Below are 24,853 nucleotides of genomic sequence, written 5' to 3' on the forward strand. Positions count from 1 at the left end.
AATTTAATTAGGCTGAAGTTTTTCTTTTATCAGGTGGAAGGGAAGAGCTGGTATGTCTTATTTTTCTTTTCATTTCTGTGTTATTCTTAATTTTCCCCTTACTGCCTTCTTTTCCTTCCATGTTACTTCTCCAAAGGAAAATCTCTTTTTCTATGTACTTGCTTTTCCCTTAGAAGAAATGCTTCTCTCAGCCCGCTACCTCCAGTTTCACTCACATTCCAGACTCCCCTTTGTAGCTGGTGCTGTGAACTAAGTCCCAGACCTCAATTTAATAGTTAGGACTTTTTTGTATGGTAGCTTTTTTTTTTTTTTAAACCTATGCTACACCTACGGCCTCCGTGTTCCTCTCTCCCACCATGGGCACCCATAGACAGCTGTAGCAGTGGGAACTGCAACTGTAACTCCGTTTGAATTTGTATTTATTTCTCTACTTACAGGTAATTTGGAATTTGTAAGATTCTCTGTTTCCTACTAAGGCTGTAGGCATACATCACGTGTGGCTCCTTTGGGTTCATTTTTTATTTTAGGATTTGAGGGAGAGTTTTTGGAGAGGTCTAGATTTAAGTGGTCATCATTGTCCCAGAGCCAACCAAAACTCCCTATTATCCCTTTCAATGTTTTCTCCCTCTTATTTCTCCCTTCTCTAATTTTAGACCCCTTACTATATGCATATTAAACTCTCTGTTTTCTTTCCATGTCTCTTAATTTGTTTCTTGTGTTATATATTTTTTCTTCTACATTCTTTCATTTTTATTTTCTATGTGTATTTCTGTTGTGTAATATTCTCAGATAAATCTTGTGATTTATTCCTCCTTTCTTCAACCGTGGCTAGTGTAACATTTAACACTCCTGTGGAAATTGTTTCCCAAGTTATTTTTTCATGACTAATGGCTTTAAGATAACAATGGTATGTACTTCATAGGATTATCAGAAGCATTAAGAGTTTTAAAAGGCTACAATGCGTCACATATTTCCTGGTACATAGTATTTACTTTAGACCATTCGGGCTGCCATAACAAAATACCATAGCTTATAAAACAACAGCAATTTCTCACAGTTCTGCAGGCAAGGAAGTCTAAGATGAAGGCACCTTTAGGTTTGGTGTCTGGTGAAGGGCTGTTTCCTGGTTCTTAGATGACACCTTCTCCTGTGTCTTCACATGGTGGAAGAGATAAGGCGGCTCAGTAGGGCCTCTTTTATAAGGACACTAAGCCCATTCATGAGGGCTCCATCCTCATGACCTAATCACCTCTCAATGGCCCCATCTCCTAGTACTATCCCATTGGTGATTAGGTTTTGACATATAAATCTGGTAGGACACACACTTTCAAACCATAACAGTACTCGTTAATTGTCAGCTATCACTATTATATATTTAGGATACTCGACTCTAGCTCTCATTCCTATAGGACCTTCAACCTAAACTTCTCTTCCACTGCAGATGTCAAAATCCCAGGCCCCAGCCATTTAAACCTTTATCTACTTCCTATAACTCCATCATCCAATTTAATTTCAACTCCCACACGCCCCTTTGTGGATTTCTTTTGATTCTGGCTTGGCTATGTGTCAAAAAATATTATATTTTATAATAATGATAATAATAAATTATAAAAGATTTAAAGCACTTTTCATAGCATCCATTTGAAACCCAAGATAACTGTCTTTTCCATCCATATCTGATAAGAAATTCCCTGCAGCAGCACTTAGGACTTAGCTTGAAAGCTGCCCAGTGGAATTATAATCTGTCCAAACTCTGAGAATGTGTCTGGCCTCTGTCTTCCCCTTCTTTTTGAATAATCCCTTTGAAATATCCTAGAACAGTCTAAGTTCCAAAGGAGTAGGTGAAACTCTTGACAGCTGCACAGGGGATTAGGGGGAACACTCTCACTCCCACATTTGTGTAGAATCAGCTTAAGTACTTTCAATATTCTTGCTTTATACTATAATTTTGGCCGACTATACAAAAAGCACTTTATTAAGAAATAGAAGTTCGCACTCAAATTCCCTTTAGGGAAATTTTTTTTTGAAACATGAAAACAGGTCATTTGAGCCAAATAATTGATAAAAATAAATTGGCATCAAACAGAAAGTAAGAAAAAAAGAGAGAGACTAGAAAAAGGAAAAGGCCACTTCCAACATACTGCAGTGTAAGGATCAGAGAAAATTTATTGTATCTATTTTGGTCAACAAACTTCACTGTAAAACCTTTTTCTTAAGCCTATTGATCAAAGTCAGTCAGGTTTCCAGATAAAAAGGGAACCTACTATGAATAATGTGGAGAAGAAAAAGAGGCGTCAAAAAAAAAATGCTAGCACTGGGCAAAGGATAAGGGAAAAGATGATGCTGGAGGCCAGGGCTCTGAAGGAAACAAATACTCAAGCTATTGTAATAGGGATGCATCAAAGTGAAATGCAAATTATAATAAGAAAACTATCAAAAAATATGCTTGGATTTCTTTGTGTGAAACCTAGTAAAAAGACTGAGTTTTGCATCGAAGCTTACATAAAGCTGAAAATAATCGCATGTAGATAGGAAGAAATTTCTACATCTTGGTTATGGTAGAAATTGAGTCTCTTAAAAGTTTATAATAGACATTGTGTCTTGACATAATAAAAATTTTAACATATGTAGTGGGAGGAAATAAATGTTTTATGCAAGCAAAGATGAAAAATCCAGAAGACAACATTACAAAATGTTGCTGTTATTGTTGCTTAACCAGGACCTCTTTTCATAGATCCACCAGTGGCTTCAGCTAGCGATATTGGCCCTGAAACACTTTTGATAGGTATTGAAACTATTGGTTCCATCTCCTGGGACCACCATCAGTAGGAATAGAATTAATCCTTGCTAATCAGCCAAGCATTGTATTGCCTTAAGCAGTACAGGTGGCCACATCTAGATGAAATGCAGAAATCACATATCCCTTCTATTCCTGTGTGTTCTTGCCTAGTAATCTGTAATTCTCCTGGCTATAAACTGTTCCTTCCTAGCAACAATATACCATAATTTCACTGGCCATTCTTATTCATTAATACCAGCTGCTTAGCAGTGCCTGAAGGTATCAGAAGAAATATGTGTAGATGGTTTTACCATATGGTTGTTAAAAGCTGATGAAGTCCTTTCATGTAAAGCTGGTGTTGGCCAGACACCATATGCATGAAGCAAAGGCCAGCAATATGAAATGAGAATCAAGGCTTGCTACAAAAGAAGAGTTCTTTTCTCTTTGTTACTTTTGACTTATGATCTTCTTTGTACCTGGGCATTAAGAGTAACTACAAATATCTAAGGCACTTTCACCACTGTGAATTTACAAGTTGTGTTTCGCAGATCACACTTTATTGCAAGCATTGAAAATAAAGGCACAGGGTATGATAAATCAGTAAAAATGAAATCTGTTACAAAGTTGTTTCAGGTTAACAGTCTGACAAGTGGACACTGTTCTGATCACAGTAAGGGTACTGGACTTTACGCTGAGATCAATGGGAAGCAACGGGAATAGGGGAGTGACTTGATCAGGTACACATCTTCAGACCATCACTCTGGCAATAGATGGAAAATGTACTGAAGAGGAGGAAGAGTGGATGAGTTGCTGATGGTTTGGGCTAGACAGTAGCTGTGAGGATGGAGAAACGATGCAATCCTCTGAAGTGTGGGAACAACAAATTGCATTTCAGTTCCCAGGCACTGATTTCTCAGTTCTGCCAAACATCTCCAACCCTGAAACCACAGCCATTATTCATCTCATTCTCTGTGCTAAAACAGCCTTGCTGGGTACCAGCCACCATGGCTACTGATAATAAAAAGGCCAGAGTCTCAGCTGCAGCTGCCCGAGGAAATGGAACTAAAGCAGATGAAGGCAAGGCCTAAAGGAACGGGATTATGTTACTTACTGTGGGATCTGAACAGAGATGACAGCAGCAGAGAGGAAAGGAGTCCACGGAACAAAGAATCAGCAGGGCACCAGCCACCGCTTAATCTGTTCCCCAAACAGTGATAAGAAAAGCATTCCTTTGATCAGTGTACACCAAGAAAGCCCTACACAGCCAGATTTCCTCCTGCAAAATAGGTCTTAAAGCCTTATTGAATTTGATTATCTAAAAAACACTCTCTGTTATAAAGATCTAAGAAACAAAGTACAAAAAAAAAATCAAAACAATCCAAAAAGCTTCTTTGGGAAGCCATTTGACAGTGTGGCAGCTGGATATAGGACCAATCCCAAGATAAGTGAAGACCTTCCATTTGATGAAAGAGCTAACCCTGCATATAATGCAGAGACCTAGACTCAGGCCATCTCATGGTATTCTGTGAACGTTATTGATTAACTTCAAATGGCAAGACAAAATTATGAACAGCAGTCCTGTAATTCAGTCAACCTTTAAGGGTAGAAGCAATGTTCACCTGTACATAATTCTCTTGGACAAGACAGGTGGAAGCTGGCTGACAACAGGAAATCTATACAGATGCTTGAAAGTTGAAGAACGTTGATGTCAAACTGAAAAAATATTTTGAATGTATAATGAAGCACAAATAGATGAGCACACTTATCTGCACAGCAACATGAAAAATGCAGATACACCCAGCTTATGCACTGCTTATAGAAACTGATGAGTTTTTGTTAACATGGGATTATTAATTATTTCTGTAAGAAAAAATCAGCATGATGCTGAATGTTACAGTATCAAAAAAAGCTTAATTTAAAAAAAACCCAATCACTTAAGCTTCCCTAACTAAATAAGAAATCTAAACAATCATTACATATTCAGAAATAAAGCAGCACTTATACGCATGCAGTATGGAGAGAACTTCTAGCCAGAATTTAATGTTCTCAATCACTTAAGAACCATGAAAATAACCACATCACACGGTATTCGCTCCTCTAATAAAAATCAATCCTAGGTTAAGTTCCTCCTCAAGTTGAAATTCCCCACTACAGTTTAGACAAAACCAAAAGCATTATTTTTTCTTGTAATTTCTTGGTCTCAAGACAGAAAATTGAAATTATTGGTCAGGTATAGGCATTTGTTTTTACATTTTCACTGATTGCAATTAGCAGAATGTGTCACTCTACAGAGTAGCTGTGGAAAACAAAAAATAGCCACAAATCTTCTGGCTTTCTTCCCATCCATTCCACTTTCTTTTAAATCTATGCAGGCTAAATGCATGAATCAATAGATCATAGAAGGAGTGACACTGGGCTAGTCTTCATGTCTAAAGGACATGGAAACTTCTACTTCCTGTCTCCTCAAACACTCACTCTAGGGGATGCCAAACACCATAGAAGAATTTCAGCTTCCTGAGATTGCCATGCTGTGAGAAACCTCAAGCTAGTCATGTGTAGATGCTCACTGAAGAGAGAGGTACCTGGCTAACCCCTAGCTGTTCCAGTCAAACCAGCCCATGCACATGACATGGAATAAAAAACTATTTGGATATCAGTTCAAATGACCTATCAGATGATGCCATCCTCATTTGACATGTGACTGCAACCACATGAGGGAGCCTAGGTGAAAACTGCTCAGCTAGCTAAGTACATTCAACCCACAGAATCATGAATAATAACAATAAATTGCTATTTTAAGCCATTAAGTTTGGGATAGTTTGTTATAGTAATTAATAGCAAGAGTGCGCTGGGCACAGTGGCTCATGCCTGTAATCCCAGCACTTTGGGAGGCTGAGGCGAGTGGAACACCTGAGGTCAGGAGTTCAAGGCCAGCCTGACCAACATGGAGAAAACCCATCCCTACTAAAAATACAAAAAAATTAGACAGGCGTAGTGGCACATGCCTGTAATCCCAGCTGCTTGTGAGGCTAAGGCAGGAGAATCGCTTGAACCCAGGAGGCAAAGGTTGTGGTGAGCTGAGATCATGCCATTGCACTCCAGTCTGGGCAAAAAGAGCAAAACTCCGTCTCAAAACTAAATAAATACATTTTAAGAATGGTAGCATTTTGCCAAAATCTCAGTGCAATTTTTAGAGTTAAATTCTAAACTGTTTTCACCTTAAGTTGATATGTTATAAGTGTAAGCTGTTTTATGCAAGCCTCAGGTAGCCATAAAGCAAAAGCCTATAAAAGATATACAAAATATAGGAAGAAAAGAATCAAAGCCTACTACCACTACAGAAAGACCATCAAACCACAAAGGAAGAAAGCAAGAGAGGAAGAAGAAAATGAAAGATCTATAGAACAACTAGACAACAATTAACAAAATAGTAGGAGTAAGTCTACACCTATCAATAATAACCTTGAATATAAATGGGTTAAATTCTCTAATTAAAAGATATAGAATGGCTGAATTGATTTTTTAAGACCAAGACTTAACTATATTCTGCCTACAAGAGACTCACCTCACCTGTAAGGACACACAGACAACATGCTCCTCAATGACCACTGAGTCAATGGAAAAATTAAGACGTAAATTTAAAAATGCTTTGAAGCAAATAAAAATGTAAACATAAGATACCACAACGTATGGGATACAGCAAAAGCAGTACTAAGAGGAATGTTTATAGCAATAAACATCTATGTCAAAAAAGTAGAAATATTTTAAATAAAAAATCTAATAATGTACCTCAAGGAACTAAAAAAGCAAGAATAAATCAAATCCAAAATCAGTAGATAGAAAAAAATAACAAAGATTGGAGCAGAAATAAATAAAATGGAGGCAAAGAATAAACAAATCAACAAAATGAAAAGTTGGTTTCTTGAAAACATAAACAAAATCAAGAAGGCTTTATCTAAAGAAAAAAGAGAGAAGACCCAATAAATAAAATCAGAGACGAAAAAGGAGATATTACAGCTGATACCACAGAAATACAAAAGATCACTAGAGACCATTATAAATAACTATAGCCAACAAATTGAAAAACCTAGAAGAAAGAGATAAATTCCTGGACACATATGACATACCAAGACTGAATCGTAAAAAAATAGAAAACCTGACCAGAGCAATAAAAAGTAACAAGATTGAATCAGGAATAAAAAAAATCTCACAACAATGAAAAGCCCAGGAACAGCTAGTTTCACGCTGAATTCTACCAAACTTCCCTTAATGAAGAACTAGTACCAATTCTTCTCAAACTATTCCAAAAAAAATTGAAGGGGAGAGAATTTATTCTAACTTATACTACAAGGCCAACATTACCATAATATCAAAAGAAGACAAAAACACAACAAAAAAAGAAAACTATAGGCCAATATTCATGATAAACATAGATGCAAAAATCCTCAACAAAATCCTAGCAAAGTGGATCCAACAGCACATCAAAAGGATGATAAACCATGATAAGGTCAAGGAGGATTTATCGTAGGAATGTGGGGGTGGTTTAACATATACAAATTAATAAACATAGATCTCATCAACAGAGTAAAGGACAAAAACCATATGAGAACCACAGTAGATGCAGAAATGTATTTGTTAAAAAGTCAACATCTCTTCATGACAAAAACTATCAACAAATTAGGCATAGAAGGAACATACTTCAAAACAATAAAGGCTATATATGACAGGCCCACAACTAACATGATACTAAATTGTGAAAAGCTGAAAGCCCTTCTGCTAAGATGTGGAACAAATAAGGCTGCCCACTTTCACCACTTTTATTCAATATAGTTCTTGAAGTCCTAGTCAGAGCAATTAGGCAAGAGAAAAAAAAAAAAAAGTCATTCAAATTGGAAAGGAAGTCAAATTGCTGCTGTTTCCGGATGACATAATCTTATATTTAGAAAAGCCCAAAGAGTCCACCAAAAAACTACTAGAACTTATAAATGAATTCAGTAAAGTTGCAGGATACAAAATCAGCATACAAAATCAGTAGCAGTTTTACATGCCAGTAGTGAACAATCTGAAAAAGAAATCGAGAAAGCAATCCCATTTATGGTAGCTATAAAATAAATAAAATGCTTAGGAATAAATGTAACCAAAGAGGTGAAAGATTTCCACAATGAAAACTGTAAAACATTGATGAAAAAAATTGAAGAGGACACCAAAAATTTTTTTTAAAATCCTATGTTCATAGATTGCAACAATTAATATTGCTAAAATATCCATACCACCCAAAGCAATCTACAGATTCAATGCAATTACTATTAAAACACCAATGATGCTCTTCACAGAAATAGAAACAAATCCTAAAATTTGTACAGAACTTGAATAGCCAAGCAATCCTAAGCAAAAAGAATAAAGCTGGAGGCATCACACTACATGACTTCAAAATATACTACAAAGCTATAGTAATCAAATCAGCATGGTGCTGGTATAAAAGTAGACACATAGACCAATGGAACAGAATAGAAAATGAAGAAATAAATCCACACATTTACTGCTAACTGATTTTCAACAAAGGAGCCAAGAACATATGTTGGAGAAAGAACAGTCTCTTCACTCAGCAGTGCTGGGAAAACTGGATATCCATATGCAGAAGAATGGAACTAGACCCCTATCTTTCACCATATACAAAAATCAACTTAAAATGGATTAAATATTTAAATCTAAGATCTGGAACTATAACACTACTAGAAGAAAATGGGAAATGCTTCACAATTGGTCTGGGAAGAGATTTTTTTTTTAGTATGTCCTCAAAAGCACACACAACAAAGGCAAAAAGAGACAAATGGGAGTATATTGAATTCAAATGCTTCTGGACAGCAAAGGAAACTATCAATAGAGGAAAGAGACAATCTACATAATGGGAGAAAATATTTGCAATCTATACATCCAGCAAAGGATTAATATCCAGAATATACTAATATAAAGAAATCATCCTTACCTAGCAGGGGAGATGTGATGATCAGACTATATAAGAAACTCAAACAACTCAACAGCAAAAAAAAAAAAAGTGATTTTTTAAATGAGACAATGATCTGAATAGACATTTCTCTAAAGAAGACATACAAATGGGCAGCATGTATATGAAAATATGCTCAACATAACTAACCATCAGGAAAATGAAAATAAAAACCACAATGAGATATAATCTCACCCAAGTTAAAATAGCTATTATCAAAAAGACAGCAACAAAAAAATAATGAAGATGTGCAGAAAGGGAAACACTCCTACACTGTTAATGTATATTAGTGCAGAAACTATGTAAAACTGTATGGAGTTTCCTCAAGAAACTACAAGGAGAACTGCTATATGACCCAGAAATCCCACTACTGGCATATGTCAAAAGTAAAGGAAATCAATAAGTCAAAGAGATCTCTGCACTCCCATGTGTATTGCAGCTCTATTCACAATAGCCAAGATATGGAATCATCCTAAGTGTCCATCAACAAATGAATGGATAAAGAAAATGTGGTATATATACATAATGAAATATAATTTAGCCATAAAACAGAAAAAAATTCTGTCATTCACAGAAACATGGATGAAACTGGAGGACATTATGTAGGGAAATATGTCAAGCACAGAAAGACAAATGCCACATGTTCTCACTCATATGTGGAAGCTGAAAGAGTTGATCACATAGAAATAGAGAGTAGAGTAATATAATAGTTACCAGAGCCTGAGAGGGTAGAGCTAGAGAGAGACTGGTTAATGGGTATAAAATTATAGTTAGATAAAAGGAATAAGTTTTCATGTTCTATAGGGTTTTAAGGTGACTACAGTTAATAATAATGTATTGTATATTTCAACATAGCTAGAAGACAGGATTTTGAATGTTCACAATGCAAATAAATGGTAAATATTTGAGATGATGGATATCCCAATTACCCTTATTTGATCATTACACATTGTATGCATGTATCAACATAGCACATATACCCCATAAAGATGTACAATTATTATATATAAATTAAAATTTTTAAATAAATTTTAATGGGCTTAATCCTATAGACCTCAGTGTGAAATAGAGTAGCCCCTAGCCATATGTAGCTATGTAAATTTGAATGAATTAAACTTAAATTATATTTCAAAATTCAACTTCTCAGTCACACTGGCCACATTTTCAGTGCCCAGCAGCCACAGTGGCTAGAGATCACCATATCATGCAAAAGAGATTATAGAATATTTTATCACAGAAAGTTTTATCAGATAGTGCTTTTATAGACCAACCCAGAGCTCTGTCCATGCTTCTCTGTAGAAGAATGAGGCTGAGAGGGAACATGTATGTGGACAATGTATTCTGTCTGCTTAAGCATAAAACTAATTCAAAGCACAGTTCTAAGACATATATGTAACTGAACTGAGGAAAGAAATGAAAAACTAGGTGTGGATTTTAAACAAAGTTGGTAAAACTTGTCCAGGCAGAGTTTTTTTAAGCACAAGTCCTAAAAAGTAAAACTTTTTTGATAATTATGTTCCTCCAGCAGTAACTGATCTCATTTTGTCACTGAATATGGGAGAGATTCTTAGAGGAAAAATCATCTCAAGCTTAACCTTGCAAACCCGAGGCAAGCATGCTGCTGTAATTGAATAGGACATGATGCAGAATTCATAAAGGCTTTTGCCTGACAGAGAATCATTAAGCTAAATCAACTGGAAAAGAACAAGGATCCGGTACCTTGGCATGGACCCATAAAAAATGTTGCTTTTCATTATGAGATTCCCTTTGTTCCTTGTGGGAAACTGTGCATCTACATGGATGTATATGTATATGTCTACACAGGAGAACTACAGAAAGAGATGCACAAACCAGTTATGCATCTGCACATATATAGATATGCCTTTAGAAAGAGGATATGCTTAATATGTGATCTTTTTAAAGGTCCTCTAGATACCTTGATGGGTTTTTTGTTTTTGTTTTTAGGTAAAGATCAAACAACAGAATTTCCAAAGTGATAGCTTTCTAACGACACTTAAGATGGGAATCAAGTTTAAGTGTGAGGTGAAGATTTATGACACACGAGAATATAAGATAAAAGTTATTTCATTTTATCTTGCATGGTCCTAAAAAGAATTCCTGTTTCTGCCTCCCCCTAATAGTTTTTTCCTCAAGAATGCCATGTATGCTTATATAACAACAAACCTCAGCCACCAAAGACCTCTATGAGGGCAGCTTTCTCACTCTTTACTTTTTGATAAGAAGGGAAGGGTGCACTTACAACTACATTTCTATGTTTTCTATGAAAAAAATAATTATCTGTAGGACACCTCTGAGACCCGTTTGACAATGTGACTATCAGAACTAAATCCAGAGAGACATCTTTTCCAATATAAACACCTTAAAAGGCTATAATTATCCATATTTTCCAATGAAAGCCACCTTTAATTTTCTAAAATAATATTACATTTGCTCCATGGGCAGGGAATGGAGGAAAAGAACATGATGGAGGCCTGAACTCCCATCTCAAGAGCCTCAGAAACAGGGCATTGTGTCCAATTCCTCACAATAATTAGTTAAGCACACATCTTTCAATGCCATGGGAATCTAATCTCTAAGGATATTTCTATCTTCTGTTTCCATGCAGAGGACTAGTTCCTGCAACAACCAAAGCATACCAGATAACAGCAAGTGTGATACTCCAGTTACTTTAGGAAATGAGGTGAATGAAATGACCTTAGGTATAGGCTATAAAGGCCTTTTTATGGTTCTAGTTGAACATACAAATACCATATCCATATACTCCAATATTTCCTCTTTTTTTCTTCTCTCACCTACATTGAAATTAGCAGAGGTATATATAATAGCGAGAATTGCCCTGAAACTAAAAAATAATTTTTAAAATACCTTTTAGCTTAAACCAGGCATGGAAAATTTCAAGCCAAAAAGTTAAATTTGGAGAAAGTTACTAGCAGATGAGGACTAGGGCTATAACAGAAACCACATTGCAGACACTATCACATATGAGTCATTATTAAAAATGTTGTTTTATGTATATCTACATAGTAAGCTATATGTATGGTATGCTACAAGTTTATTGAGCTCAGATCTAGACATTATCTTGAAAATATTCACTAATGTTTGCAAAGCATTTTAACGTTTATAAAAGAAAGACACTATTTTTCCCCATAGAAGGTATTCAATACAAATTTGGCACATTGAATTACATTTGGATTTTATCATATTAGATTTTGGGATAGCATTACTGGTGCTAATACTAAGGTTATCTTTTCTAACTACAAAGAAAAATTGATTTCCTTAGTGCCAGCAAATCCTGGAGATTAAAGTGGGCATATTTAATTTGAAAGCAATTTTTTAATTTAATAAATTATTTATGTACAAATACACGTTGCCGATAGCAAACTCTATACTACTATAAAAGACAAAGTATCCATCTACATTTAGAGAATGTAGCCTTCTACTTTGTGTGTCTGAAACTTAACTCCTCTCCCCGATCTTCAGTAAGGGGGAGCACTAAGGGGAGGATGATGGGACAATGACGGCTGCTCATCAAAATACTTTTCACTCAATTGGAGTTACCATCCCAAATGACTAAGACAGAGCCCTTTGCATCTAATATAGAGACTCTTAATATAAGCCAGACACAGGAAAGGGTCCTAACACTCCAAAGCATATAAGCACCATGAACACAGGGATTTTTGTCCTTTTATTTATTGCTATATCCTCAATAACTATAATAGTGGCTAACATATTATTGGTGCATTATTTATTACATTCTCCCAGGAATAATTAAGTAACACCAACATTATTTCACTAGGAAAGGAGCAGAGTTAAAGTTATTTTAACAGAAAGAATTTCCTTTCCTCTTGTACTGTCTGAGATGAGATTAATAATGACCTTAGAGGTGTGTGTTTGGTCCTTCAGTGACTCGTGAGGAAGCAGTAACAACTCCAGCTGGTGGAGAAGCCAAACTGGAATCAGAATCTACATTCCAGGCAGAACCTCCCCTAATATTTGCAGGATCTAGAGCAAGGATATTGGCAATTCCCTTCAGCCAAAGACCACCAAGAACATCCTTGTAGCATGATTAAATTATTGATTTCTTGCAAGGAGGAAGAATGTTTATCATGAAGGACATGGATCTTCTCAATAAGAGGGCACTTGAAAGGCCTTACAGGATTTGGGCTCAGGGTAAGTAGTTCTGAAGAGAGTTTAAGGATGTGAGACTTTGCTGAGGGGTTGGGTGCTTTCAGGAAGTGAGTGGAATTTTATATTTGAGAATCTTAATGATTCTTATCTAGAAAAATTATAAGAAAGTAGAGGCGAAGTTGCACTGATAAGGAAGTAGCAGTCTCTCATAGTAACAAGGAGAGGAGGATGTTTGTTTGGTCACTTCTCATCTTGAAAAATGTTCTTGTTCTCAGAGCATGATTCCAGAGTGGTCCTGTTTTTGCCTTGCTCCCTCATGGTCCCAGGGCAGCCTTGTCTGGCATTGGTGTTCTGTGACACTGTCCACGGTCCACAGGAGAATTCCACAATCTGGCTATAAGTACTAAGCCAGCTCCTTGCCACCCGAAAGCTTAGCTGAGAGGAGGCCAGCTCTCAGGTGTGTAAGGCCATGTATCTAAGTATTTCAAGTTAAAAATCAACCTAACTGTTAAATGAAGTATGTTTTATCCTCCTACTTTTACAAATACGTTCATAACAGCAAGACTGAAGAGGCTATGTAAAGCTACGGTTTTTAAATGAATGAAAGTTGGCAAAATATTTAAAAAGACAATTTAATTACTATTCTGCAGATCTGGATATTCTGTTGATGAGTCTGTGATGTTCGTATGACTAATAAAAGAAATTGTGTATTTTTCATGAAATTTTTTTGCCTACAACTCAGAAAAATCACTAATTATGTTGTTAGAGTGAAAGCTTCTACATAATTTTGTTCTACTGACAAAAGTGATCTAATACATTTAAAATAAAATGTATGGTATTCACTATATATAAAATGCGGATATATTTTCACCAAAAATAAAAAAGAAAATTAAAATTATATATATTTCCAAAAACAATGATTTTCTTCTAATATATTCCATATTATTAAAATGAAAGGGCAAAATAAATATTACTATTAAGTATCAAAATATCAAGTAAAATTATGTAAAGAAAACTAAAATCTAATTTAATATTTTAAAAATATGTGTAAATCTATTACATATATTTATGAAAATTAAACTGATAAAGGACAGGGACAGGGAAGTGCTGGGAGGAGAAGAGTGGTGTCCCTGGCGAGGGCTCCATCCCTGGGCCTGCGCCCACAGACCTACGTGAGGACAGCCACTCCTGTTTTCGTGCCCAAGTGTTGCATTTTCCAAGACCACCCTGGCCCGCCATGCCCTCCATCCTGTGCCTATAAAAATCCCGAGACTCTACTGGGCATGCATACAAGCAGCTGGACGTTGAGAGGAACACACCAGAAGAAGGGCACACAGGTGGCTGGACGTCGTGGCTGGAGAGGAGCAGAGGAGTGGAAGAACACACCAACGGGCACCAGCGACGCCTGTCAGACACAGACGCCGTCAGGCAATTGATCAGCGGAACAACACAGACTCCGAGGGGAATTTGGCTGGAGTAGTCGGAGGAGAGTCCAGCCACTGAGCAGCCCAACTCCAGGGGAAAACCACCTTCCCACTCCACACACCTTCTGGTCCCCCATACATCTGCTGAGAGCTACTTCCACCACTCAAGAAAGCCTTGCACTCATTCTCTAAGCCCACGAATGATCCGATTTTTCCTGTACACCAAGGCAAGAACCCCAGAATATAGAAAGCCCTCTGTCTTTGCAGTAAGGACACGAGCCATCTACAGACGGCAAAACTAAAAGAGCACACTATAACATGCCCACTATGGCTTCAGGAGCTGTAAACATTCACGCCTAGATGCTGCGGCGGGGTCAGAGCTCATGCTCCCCACAACCTGCCTGTCTACCTGCTCCCACTAGGGGTTTTGAGCAGCGGGGCACTGAGGAAGCAAGCCACACCCCCAGCACATGCCCTGTGAGGGGGACAAGGGAACTTTTCCCATTTCAAAACCATTCATGATTCTGGCATTCGCTGTCCATCGAGTTGCCAATGCAAAGAATTGCTATCACCCTTCACCAGTATTACATCTAGACCTACATATCTAAAATGTAAGTGATAGGAAATGTAATATTGAAAAACGCACCTCAGCAACCATGTACAAACTGTGGAAAGTACTTTGCTTTTTTCGTAAGTATCTCTAGATCCACAAATTGAAACGTGAAGAGAACATGGACTCTCAGCACTACTGGGAAATGATATTTCATGATGCAAGAAGCCGTTGCACTTATGCTCTCTGAGAGGAAGAGTTTGATGAGTTAATTTGTCTTTTTCTCTTACTTATATACTTTTGCCATTCAAATCCTTTTTGCTTCCTGAGGTACTTTACATCTTCAATATTGGCAGCAGTACAATCAACACCACACATGACATGAAGACATACTCACCTTTCGTTCAAGGACAGTGGGAAAGCAATGTGAGAAGCATTTCTCTGGGGCCTGAAGCGTTAGTCAGGAGGGCAGTTGGTTACGGCCATAGGTCACGCTGCAATTGCATTGAGCTCCAGAAATCAATGGATGGAGGTACCCATGCACTCTTTAAAAATTTTACATTTTGTGTGTATATTTGTGATAAACAGGGTCCCCCAAAGCATAGGGCTTGATGCAGGGTCCCCTCTTGCTCACACCATTGGGATCTTCCTCTTCTCTTTCAAAACCAGCCAAGTTTGACCAAAGGAGAATATGCGTGAGTACCTGACCAAAGCCAAAGCCATTGGAGTTTGCAAACTCCTGTAACAATGGTAGAAGTTTCTCAGAGGAAAGAAAACGTATCAGGATTTGGGGACTGGACATAGAAGTCCCCAGAAAGAGGAGCAGGGATGAAAGAGAAAGAAAGCCCATTTAGGTTACTCTGCTTTCAAATGCCTAAATCAATAAGGCATTATGTAGCACAGGGGAATGCAATAAGTTATAGGCATGGTTCCCTCTTCACTGAACTGCTCTTTTTGAGGTACATCTGACCTTTTAGTAAATAACTTTTCATATCTGCCTTATAGATTGTTAGATATTTGATATGGGGAAATTAGAAAGTATTGGGGAATAGAAAAGTAATGACCCCATTCTGGGAGACTCTGATGGATATTGAGGACAATTGTTGGAGAGCTGTTCGCTGGTCATTAACCATAGCAAAGGGACCACAGACACAGATTAAATTCCCTGAGTTACACCGCCCCCACCGGCCCCCATAATCTATTAGCAGGAAACTCCATATGAGACAGTCCTAACCCAAGTTACTCTTGAAAGTTTCCTTAAAATATGTAATATCAACTTTTTTGCAATTGAGAACCCCAAGTCCACCCCATTCCTTCCAAATATGTAAAATTTTACATTCCTAGGGGCCATATTTTTGACATTTTGGACAGCCAAGCTTGGGAAGTAGCTTCATCTACTAGAGATAAGGTTCATCAAGCAACATTGGCCTCATAACCCCCACTGCCCGTAGATCTCCATAACCTTTTTTTATTCATTTTAGGAAGATTTAACACATGGATTCTATGTCAGGCATTGTGATCATCTGTTGAAGTTACCTGACATGACAGTCTTCAGCCTTAAGTAGTTTAGCAGAGTCTGTCAAAAAATGCTATTCCTTCTACATTAAAATAATCCACTGTTTCAAACCATAGAGTAACTTAGATCTCTGGCCTTACAGGAAGAATCACTGTCTATTATAAGCTTTTAAAAATTGCATTAAGTGGAAGGGAAAACTATTTTAAATCATCTTGGTGTTACTGTAATAGTTTATGAATTGGGGAAATTTATTCATGCATAATGATATTGCATCCTATCAAACTACTGGGTGGTTGTTGACATTGGTTGGAGGCTTTTTGCCATGGACATGCAGATACTAACCTCAGATAACTCCTGTGTTTGAGCCTTTAGTCTTCATGGGTCAATGTACTAGTCAGGGTTCCCCAGAAAAACAGAACCAACAGGACATGTTTGTGCTTTATTTCAATCTACCGACACTGGGAAATGTGATTTGTTGATGTTTGCTGTGCTACCATCAGTCAAATAGAGGTTTACTCCTGAAAACCTATGCAAAATGCTATACAGCAGCAGTTCCTGGTTCCATCTTTCCTCCTTAGAGTTATGTAGCTAATTCTCCCCAGATACCCAAAGATGAACAAAAGTAATAAAATCTCAAGATGCACTGGCTCCTATTTTGTAAGTAGGCTGAAGGGCTCTGGGGATTAAGGAAAATGAAAGTAGAGAAAGAACTAACTCCATTATTAAACAGCACCTGCATCTCTGCAATGTAAAATAACTGCCCCTACAAACCACCCAATGATTGTAAACATACCAATACCGGAATTTAATCAGTTAATGACTATACAATTAAAATGAGTCATCTACAATCATAGCCCTCAGAGCATCTAACTGGCTAATGTTTTATGGTGGAATGTCTTTTGATATTTAATACCCGGCTTTCATAAAATACACCTTTCAGCACAAATTATTTTGGCTGACGTTTACATGGGAAAGTTTTGTATTTATATCCCTAAATCTTATTAAAACATATTAAACAATGTAGTCAAATTCAGTGAGTCCAAATACAACTGTTAAAATGTCAGACCTTACACAGACTTTTTTAAAAGCTGAAGATTGCCAAAAGAAGGGAAGTGCAATGTATTACTGCATGCAAAGCAATTGCTTATTAACCACTACTCTTATTGTTTGGTGATCAGAAAGCCATACTGTAAGCATTTTAGAATCTATTGCTTGTGTATATAAGTAATATACATAATTACTGCTTTAGTTCCATTTAAGAAACAGGTGGAATGGGAGTGCTACAGCATACTTTTATTTTCTATTTAAAGTAATGGGGAATGAGCTACAAGTTAGCATTTGTTTCACAGAATGTGTATGATCCAGAAACAAAATACCGATGAGCAATTTGCCAGCTATGTGCAACAAAAATGAATCTTACAAACGTAAAATCAAACATGAGAACTCAGACAAACACAGATGGTATGACTGCATTTATATAAAGTTTTAAAAGCAGACAAAACCAAACTCTAGTATTTAGGGATATATGCTTCAATGGTAAAACTATAAATAAAAGCAAGGAAGCAAATTCCAAAAAACAAGATTGTGGTTTCCTTTGCAAGGAAAGAATGAAATAGTGATTGGGAGGGTGCATTAAGAGCATGTCTGGAGCAATGGTAATGTATGTAAACTGGTATTTGCTTTGTAATAAATAAATGAGAAATGAACTATGCTTATGTGTATACAGTTTTCTGTTTATGTTCTTTATTGCATAATGTAAATGTTGGGAAAAATAACTTGTGGATATAGTTAGATGTCAAGAGTCTGTTTTAAGAAGGCTAATACTCTGATGCACTAATTCCACCTTTACAAATCTACCTTATAGACATAATCTCTTTTTAAAAAGTCTTACCACTCGAGGCGGGGCGGGGGCAAGATGGCTGCCTAGAAACACCTGCAGTTGGAGGCTCCCACTGAGAAGAAAGAAAACGGCAAGTTAATCCTAAACCGGCAACTGAGGTTCTCTCGTTGGGACTGACTAGACAGCGCAACATATGGACAGCGGAGAAAAAGCAGAGCGAGTTATGGCCCACCAGGGAGCAGCATGGGGCAAGGGGAGCTCCCATCCCCAGTCAAGGTAGGCAGTGAGTGTGTTACTCCACCCGGGAAACTATGCTTTTTCCACGGATCTGTGCAACCTGTGGATCAGATCCCCTCGTGAGCCCATGCTACCCGGGCCTTGGGTCCCAAGCCCAGAGCTGTGTAGATTCTTGGCCGCCACTTTGCTGGAAACTGCCTAAGACTACCGAGCCCCCGGGTGGAGGGGCGGCCATCATCAGTGTGGCTGCCAGCTGCCTAAGATGACTGAGCTCCTGGGGGAGGTGCAGCAGCCATCACTGCAGCTCCAGTCTGTCGTTTTCCCTGCCGGTGCCAGGGAGATTGGGTGGTTTGGACCCAGGAGGAATTCTCCACAGCCCAACAGCTGTGGTAGATCATGGCCAGACTGTCTTTTTAGGCCAGACCCTGGCCCATCCCTCCTCACTGGGTGGGGCCTCCCTGTGGGAACTTCAGCAACTCCAGCCAGGGGTTTATAGACAGAACTCTGATCTCCCTGGGATGAAGCCCCTGTGGAGAGGGGCAGCCACCGTCTCCATTAATCAGTAGACTTAAATCTTTCTCTCTGTTGGCTCTGAGGGGTCCGGGCTGTCCCCGACTAATGAGATTCCCCCCAGTGCAGCACACCCCCTCTACCAAGGGGCAGCCAGAGTGCTTCATTAAGTGAGTCCCTGATCCCATGCCTCTTGACTGGGTGAGACACCACCAACAGAAGTCACCAGACACCTTATGCAGGGGCATTCCTGCTAGCATCAGTTTGGTGCCCCTCTGGGACAGAGCTCCCAGAGGAAGGAGCAGGCAGTCATCTTTGCTGTTCTGTAGCTTCCGGGAGTGACACCTCCAGGTGCAGGATGGACCCCCAGCAAACTGCAGCAACCCTACAGAAGAGGGGCCTCTTAAAAGAAAAACAAACAAACAAAAGAAAGCAACAACAACAGCACCAACAAAAAAGTCTCCACAAAAACCCCATCCAAAGGTCAGCAGCCTCAAAGATCGAAGCTAGATAAACTCATGAAGATGAGAAAGAATCAATGAAAAAATGCTGAAAACTCAAAAAGCCAGAGTGCCTCTTCTCCTCCAAATAATTGCAACACCTCTCCAGCAAGGGCACAGAACTGGGCTGAGGCTGAGATGGATGAACTGACAGAAGTAGGCTTCAGAAGGTAGGTAATAATGAAATTCAATGAGCTGAAAGAGCATGTTCTAACCCAAAGCAGAGAAGCTAAGAACATGATAAAACATTGTAGGAGCCATTAACCAGAATAACAAGTTTAGAGAGGAACATACATGACCTAATGGAGCCAAAAAACACAACACAAGAACTTCACAATGCAACCACAAGTATCAATAGCTGAATAGAGCAAGCAGAGGAAAGAATTTCAGAGCTTGAAGACTACCTTGCTGAAATAAGACAGAAAGACAAGATTGGAGGAAAAAGAATGAACAAAACTTCTGAGAACTATGGAATTAGGTAAAAAGACTGAACCTACGACTGATTGGGGTGCCTGAAAGAAACAGGGAGAAGAGAACCAAGTTGGGAAACATACTTTAGAATATCATCCAGGAGAACTTCCTTAACCTAGCAAGACAGGCCAACATGCAAATTCAGAAAATCCAGAGAGCTCCAGTAAGATACTCCATGAAAAGGTCAACCCCAAGACACATAATCTTCAGATTTCCCAAGGTTGAAATGCAGGAAAAAATGTTAAGGGTAGCCAGAGAGAAAGGTTAGGTCACATACAAAGGGAAGCCCATCAGACTAACAGTGGACCTCCCAGCAGAAACTCTATAAGCCAAAAGAGATTTGGGGCCAATATTCAATATTCAACAGTCCTAAAGAAAAGAATTTCCAACCCAGAATTTCATATCCAGCCAAACTAAGCTTCATAAGCAAAGGAGAAATATAATTCTTTTCAGTCAAGCAAATGCTGAGGGAATTTGTCACCACCAGCCCTGCCTTGCAAGAGCTCTTGAAGGAAGCACTAAATATGGAAAGGAAAAATCATTACTAGCTGCTACAAAAACTCACTGAAGTACAAACACCAATGACACTATGAAACAACTACACCAACAAGTCTGCAAAATAACCAGCTAGCATCATGATGACAGGATCAAATTCACAAAAGACAATAACAACTTAAATGGAAATGGTCTAAATGCCCCAATTAAAAGACACAGAATGGCAAGCTTGATAAAGAGTCAACACCCATCAGTGTACTGTATGCAAGAGACCCATCTCATATGCAAAGACACACATAGACTCAAAATACAGGGATGAAAAAAAAATTACCTAGCAAATGGAAAGCATAAAAAAAGCAGAGTTTGCAATCCTAGTTTCTGAAAAAACAGCCTTTAAACCAACAAAGATAAAAAAAAAAAAGACAAAGAAAGGCATTACATAATGGTAAAGGGATCAATTCAACAAGAAGAGGCTAACTATCCTAAATATATATGCACCCGATACCAGAGCACATAGATTCATAAAACAAGTTGTTAGAGACCTACCAAGAGACTTAGACTCCCACATATTACTAGTGGGAGACTTTAACACCTCATTGTCAATATTAGATCATCAAGACAGAAAATTAAGAAAGATATTCAGGAATTGAACTCAGCTCTGGATCGAGTGAACCTGATAGATAGCTACAGAACTCTCCACACAAAAACAACAGAATATACATTCTCAGCACCACATGGCACTTACTCTAAAATCTATCACGTAATTGGAAGTAAAACACTCCTCAGCAAATGCAAAAGAACTGAAATAATGGCAAACAGTCTCTCAGACCACAGCACAGTCAAATTAGAACTCAAAATTAAGAAACCCACTCTAAACCACACAACTACATGAAATTGAACAACCTGCTCCTGAATGACTCTTGGGAAAATAATGAAATTAAGGCAGAAATCAAGAAGTTATTTGAAACCTATGAGAAAAAAGAGACAACATACCATAATCTCTGGGATGCAGGTAAACCAGTGTTAAAAGGGAAATTTATAGCACTAAATGCCCACATCAAAAAGCTAGAAAGATCTCAAATTGACACCCTAACATCACAATTAAAAGAACTAGAGAACCAAGAGCAAACAAACCCCAAAGTTAGCAGAAGACAAAAAATAACCAATATCAGAGCAGAACTGAAAGAGATAGATACACAAAAACCCTTCAAAAAAATCAGTGAATCCAGCAGCTGGTTTTTTGAAAATATTAATAAAATAGATTGCTAGCTAGACTAATAAAGAAGAAAAGAAAGAAGAATCAAATTGACACAATAAAAAATGATAGAAGGGATATCACCACTGACCCCATAGGAATACAAACAAACATCAGAGAATACTATAAATATCTCTATGCAAATAGACCAGAAAATCTAGAAGAAATGGATATTCCTGCACATGTACACCCTCTCAAGACTGAACCAGGAAGAAGTTGAATCCCTGAATAGAACAAAAACAGGTTCTGAAATTTAAGCAGTAATAAATAGCCTACCAACCAAAAAAAGCCCAGGACTAGGCAGATTTACAGGTGAATTACATCAGAGGCACAAAGAGGAGCTGGTACCATTTCTTCTGAAACTATTCCAAACAATTGAAAAGGAGGGACTCCTCCCTGACTCACTTTATGAGGCCAACATTATCCTAATACCAAAACCTGGCAGAGATACAACAAAAAAAGAAAACTTCAGGCCAATATCTTTGATGAACATTGATGCAAGAATTCTCAATAAAATACAGGCAAACCAAATCCAGAGAGTAAGTCAAAAAGCTTATCTACCACAATCAAGTCAGCTTCATCCCTGGGATGCAAGGCTGGTTCTACATACACAAATCAATAAACGTAATCCATCACATAAACAGAACTAAAGACAAAAACCACATGATTATCTCAATAAATGCAGAAAAGGCCTTTGCTAAAATTCAACATCCCTTCATGTTAAAAACTCTCAATAAATTAGGTATTGATGGAACAAGCCTCAAAATAATAAGAGCAATTTATGACAAGTCCACAGCCAATATTATACTGAATGGGCAAAAGCTGGAAGCTTTCCCTTTGAAAACCAGCACAAGACAAGGATACCCTCTCTCAACACTTCTATTCAACATAATAATGGGAAGTTCTGGCCAGTACAGTCAGGCAAGAGAAAGAAATAAATGGTATTCAAATAGGAAGAGAGGAAGTCAAATTGTCTCTGTTTGCAGATGACATGATCATATATTTAGAAAACCCCATCATCTTAGCCCAAATCATTCTTAAGCTGATGAGATATTTCAGCAAAGTCTCAGGATACAAAGTCATCGTGCAAAAATCACAAGCATTCCTATGCACCAACAATAGACAAGGAGAGAGCCAAATCGTGAATGAACTCCCATTCACAATTGCTACAAAGACAACTAAGTACCTAGGAATACAGCTAAGAAGGGAAGTGAAGGACCTTTTCAAAGAGAACTACAAACCACTGCTCAAAGAAATCAGAGAGGTCACAAACAAATGGAAAAACATTACATGCTCATGGATAGGAAGAATCAATATCATGAAAATGGCCATACTGCCCAAAGTATTTTATAGATTTGATGCTATTCTTATTAAATAATTATTGACATTCTTCAGAGATTTAGAAAAAACTATAAAATTCATATGGAATGAAGAAAGAGCCTGTGCAACCAAGACAATTCAATTCTTAGCAAAAAGAACAAATCTGGAAGCATCATGCTACCTGACTTCAAACTACACTGCAAGGCTGCAGTAACCAAAACAGCAGGGTACTCATACAAAAACAGACACATAGACCAGTGGAACAGAAAAAAGAACCCAGAAATAAAACCGCACATCTACAACCATCTGATCTTTGACAAACCTGAAAAAAACAAGCAATGGGAAATGATCCCCTTTTTAATAAATGGTGCTGGGAGAACTGGCTAGTCATATGCAGAAAATTGAAACTGGATTCCTTCCTTACACTATATGCAAAAATTAACTCAAGATGGATTAAAGACTTAACTGTAAAACCCAAAACTATAAAAACCCTAGAAGAAAATCTGGGCAATATTGTTCAGGACATAGGCATGGGCAAAGATTTCATGACAAAAACTTCAAAAGCAATTGCAACAAAAGCAAAAATTGACAAATGCAATCTGATTAAACTAAAGAGCTTCTGCGCAGAAAAAACAAACTATCATCAGAGCAGAGAGACAACCTACAGAATGAGAGAAAAATTTTGCAATCCATCCATCTGACAAATGTCTAATATCCAGAATCTACAAAGAACTTAAACAAATTTACAAGAAAAAAATAACCTCATTAAAAATTGGGCAAAGCACATGAACAGACACTTCTCAAAAGAAGACATATATACAGCCAATAAACATATGAAAAAAAGCTCAACATCACTGATCGTTAGAGAAATGCAAATCAAAACCACAATAAGATACCATCTCATGCCAGTCAAAATGGCTATTATTAAAAAGTCAAGAAACAACAGATGTTGGCAAGGCTATGGAGAAATAGGAACACTTTTACACTGCTGGTGGGAATGTAAACTAGTTCAACCATTGAGGAAGACAGTGTGGCAATTCCAAAGACCTAGAACCAGAAACACCATTTGATCCAGCAATGCCATTACTGGGTATACCCAAAGGAATATAAATCATTTTACTATAAAGATATATGCACAGGTATGTTTATTGCAGCACTATTTACAATAACAAAGATGTGGAATCAACCTAACTGCCCATCAGTGACAGACTGGATAAAGAAAATGTAGTATATATACATCATGAAATACTATGCAGCCATACAAAGGAATGAGATCATGTTCTTTGCAGGGACATGGATGGAGCTTAGAAGCCATTATCCTCAACAAGCTAACACAGGAACAGAAAACCAAACACTGCACGTTCTTACTTATAAGTGTTCTCACTTACAACAATGAGAACACATGGACACATACAGCAAAACAACAACACACTGGGTCTGTTGGGCAGGGGGTCGGGGGAGGGAGAGCATCAGGATAAATAGCTAACGCATGCTGTGCTTAATACGTAGGCGATGGGTTGATAGGTGCAGCAAACCACAATGGCACACATGTACCTATGAAAACCTGCACATTCTGCACATGTATCCTGGAACTTAAAATTAAAAGCCTTATCCCTAATGATATTCACTGAAAAATTATTAACACTTGGGAAATGAAGATAACCTAAAATCCAACAATGAGAAAATGGCTTAAATAAATTATATTTGTAAACTATCTGGCCCAATTATAAATACAGTACAACTATGACTATATATTTTTTAAAATTCTATCCATGAAAACAGACTTAAAAGACAATAAAATAT

At 37.7% G+C, this 24,853-nt stretch overlaps 1 long non-coding RNA gene across 1 annotated transcript in view; it reads right to left on the reverse strand.

Annotated features, from left to right (window-relative positions):
* Window positions 1–24,853, reverse strand: part of LOC105377358 (uncharacterized) — a 46,845-nt gene that overhangs the window by 17,143 nt on the left and 4,849 nt on the right. Inside the window, exon 2 of the long non-coding RNA XR_939059.3 lies at window positions 18,314–18,374. This is a non-coding gene — a long non-coding RNA (uncharacterized LOC105377358). The remainder of the gene's footprint in view (window positions 1–18,313; window positions 18,375–24,853) is intronic.

The sequence above is a fragment of the Homo sapiens genome, chromosome 4, assembly GCF_000001405.40.
Source record: "Homo sapiens chromosome 4, GRCh38.p14 Primary Assembly".
NCBI classification, from domain to species: domain Eukaryota; kingdom Metazoa; phylum Chordata; class Mammalia; order Primates; family Hominidae; genus Homo; species Homo sapiens.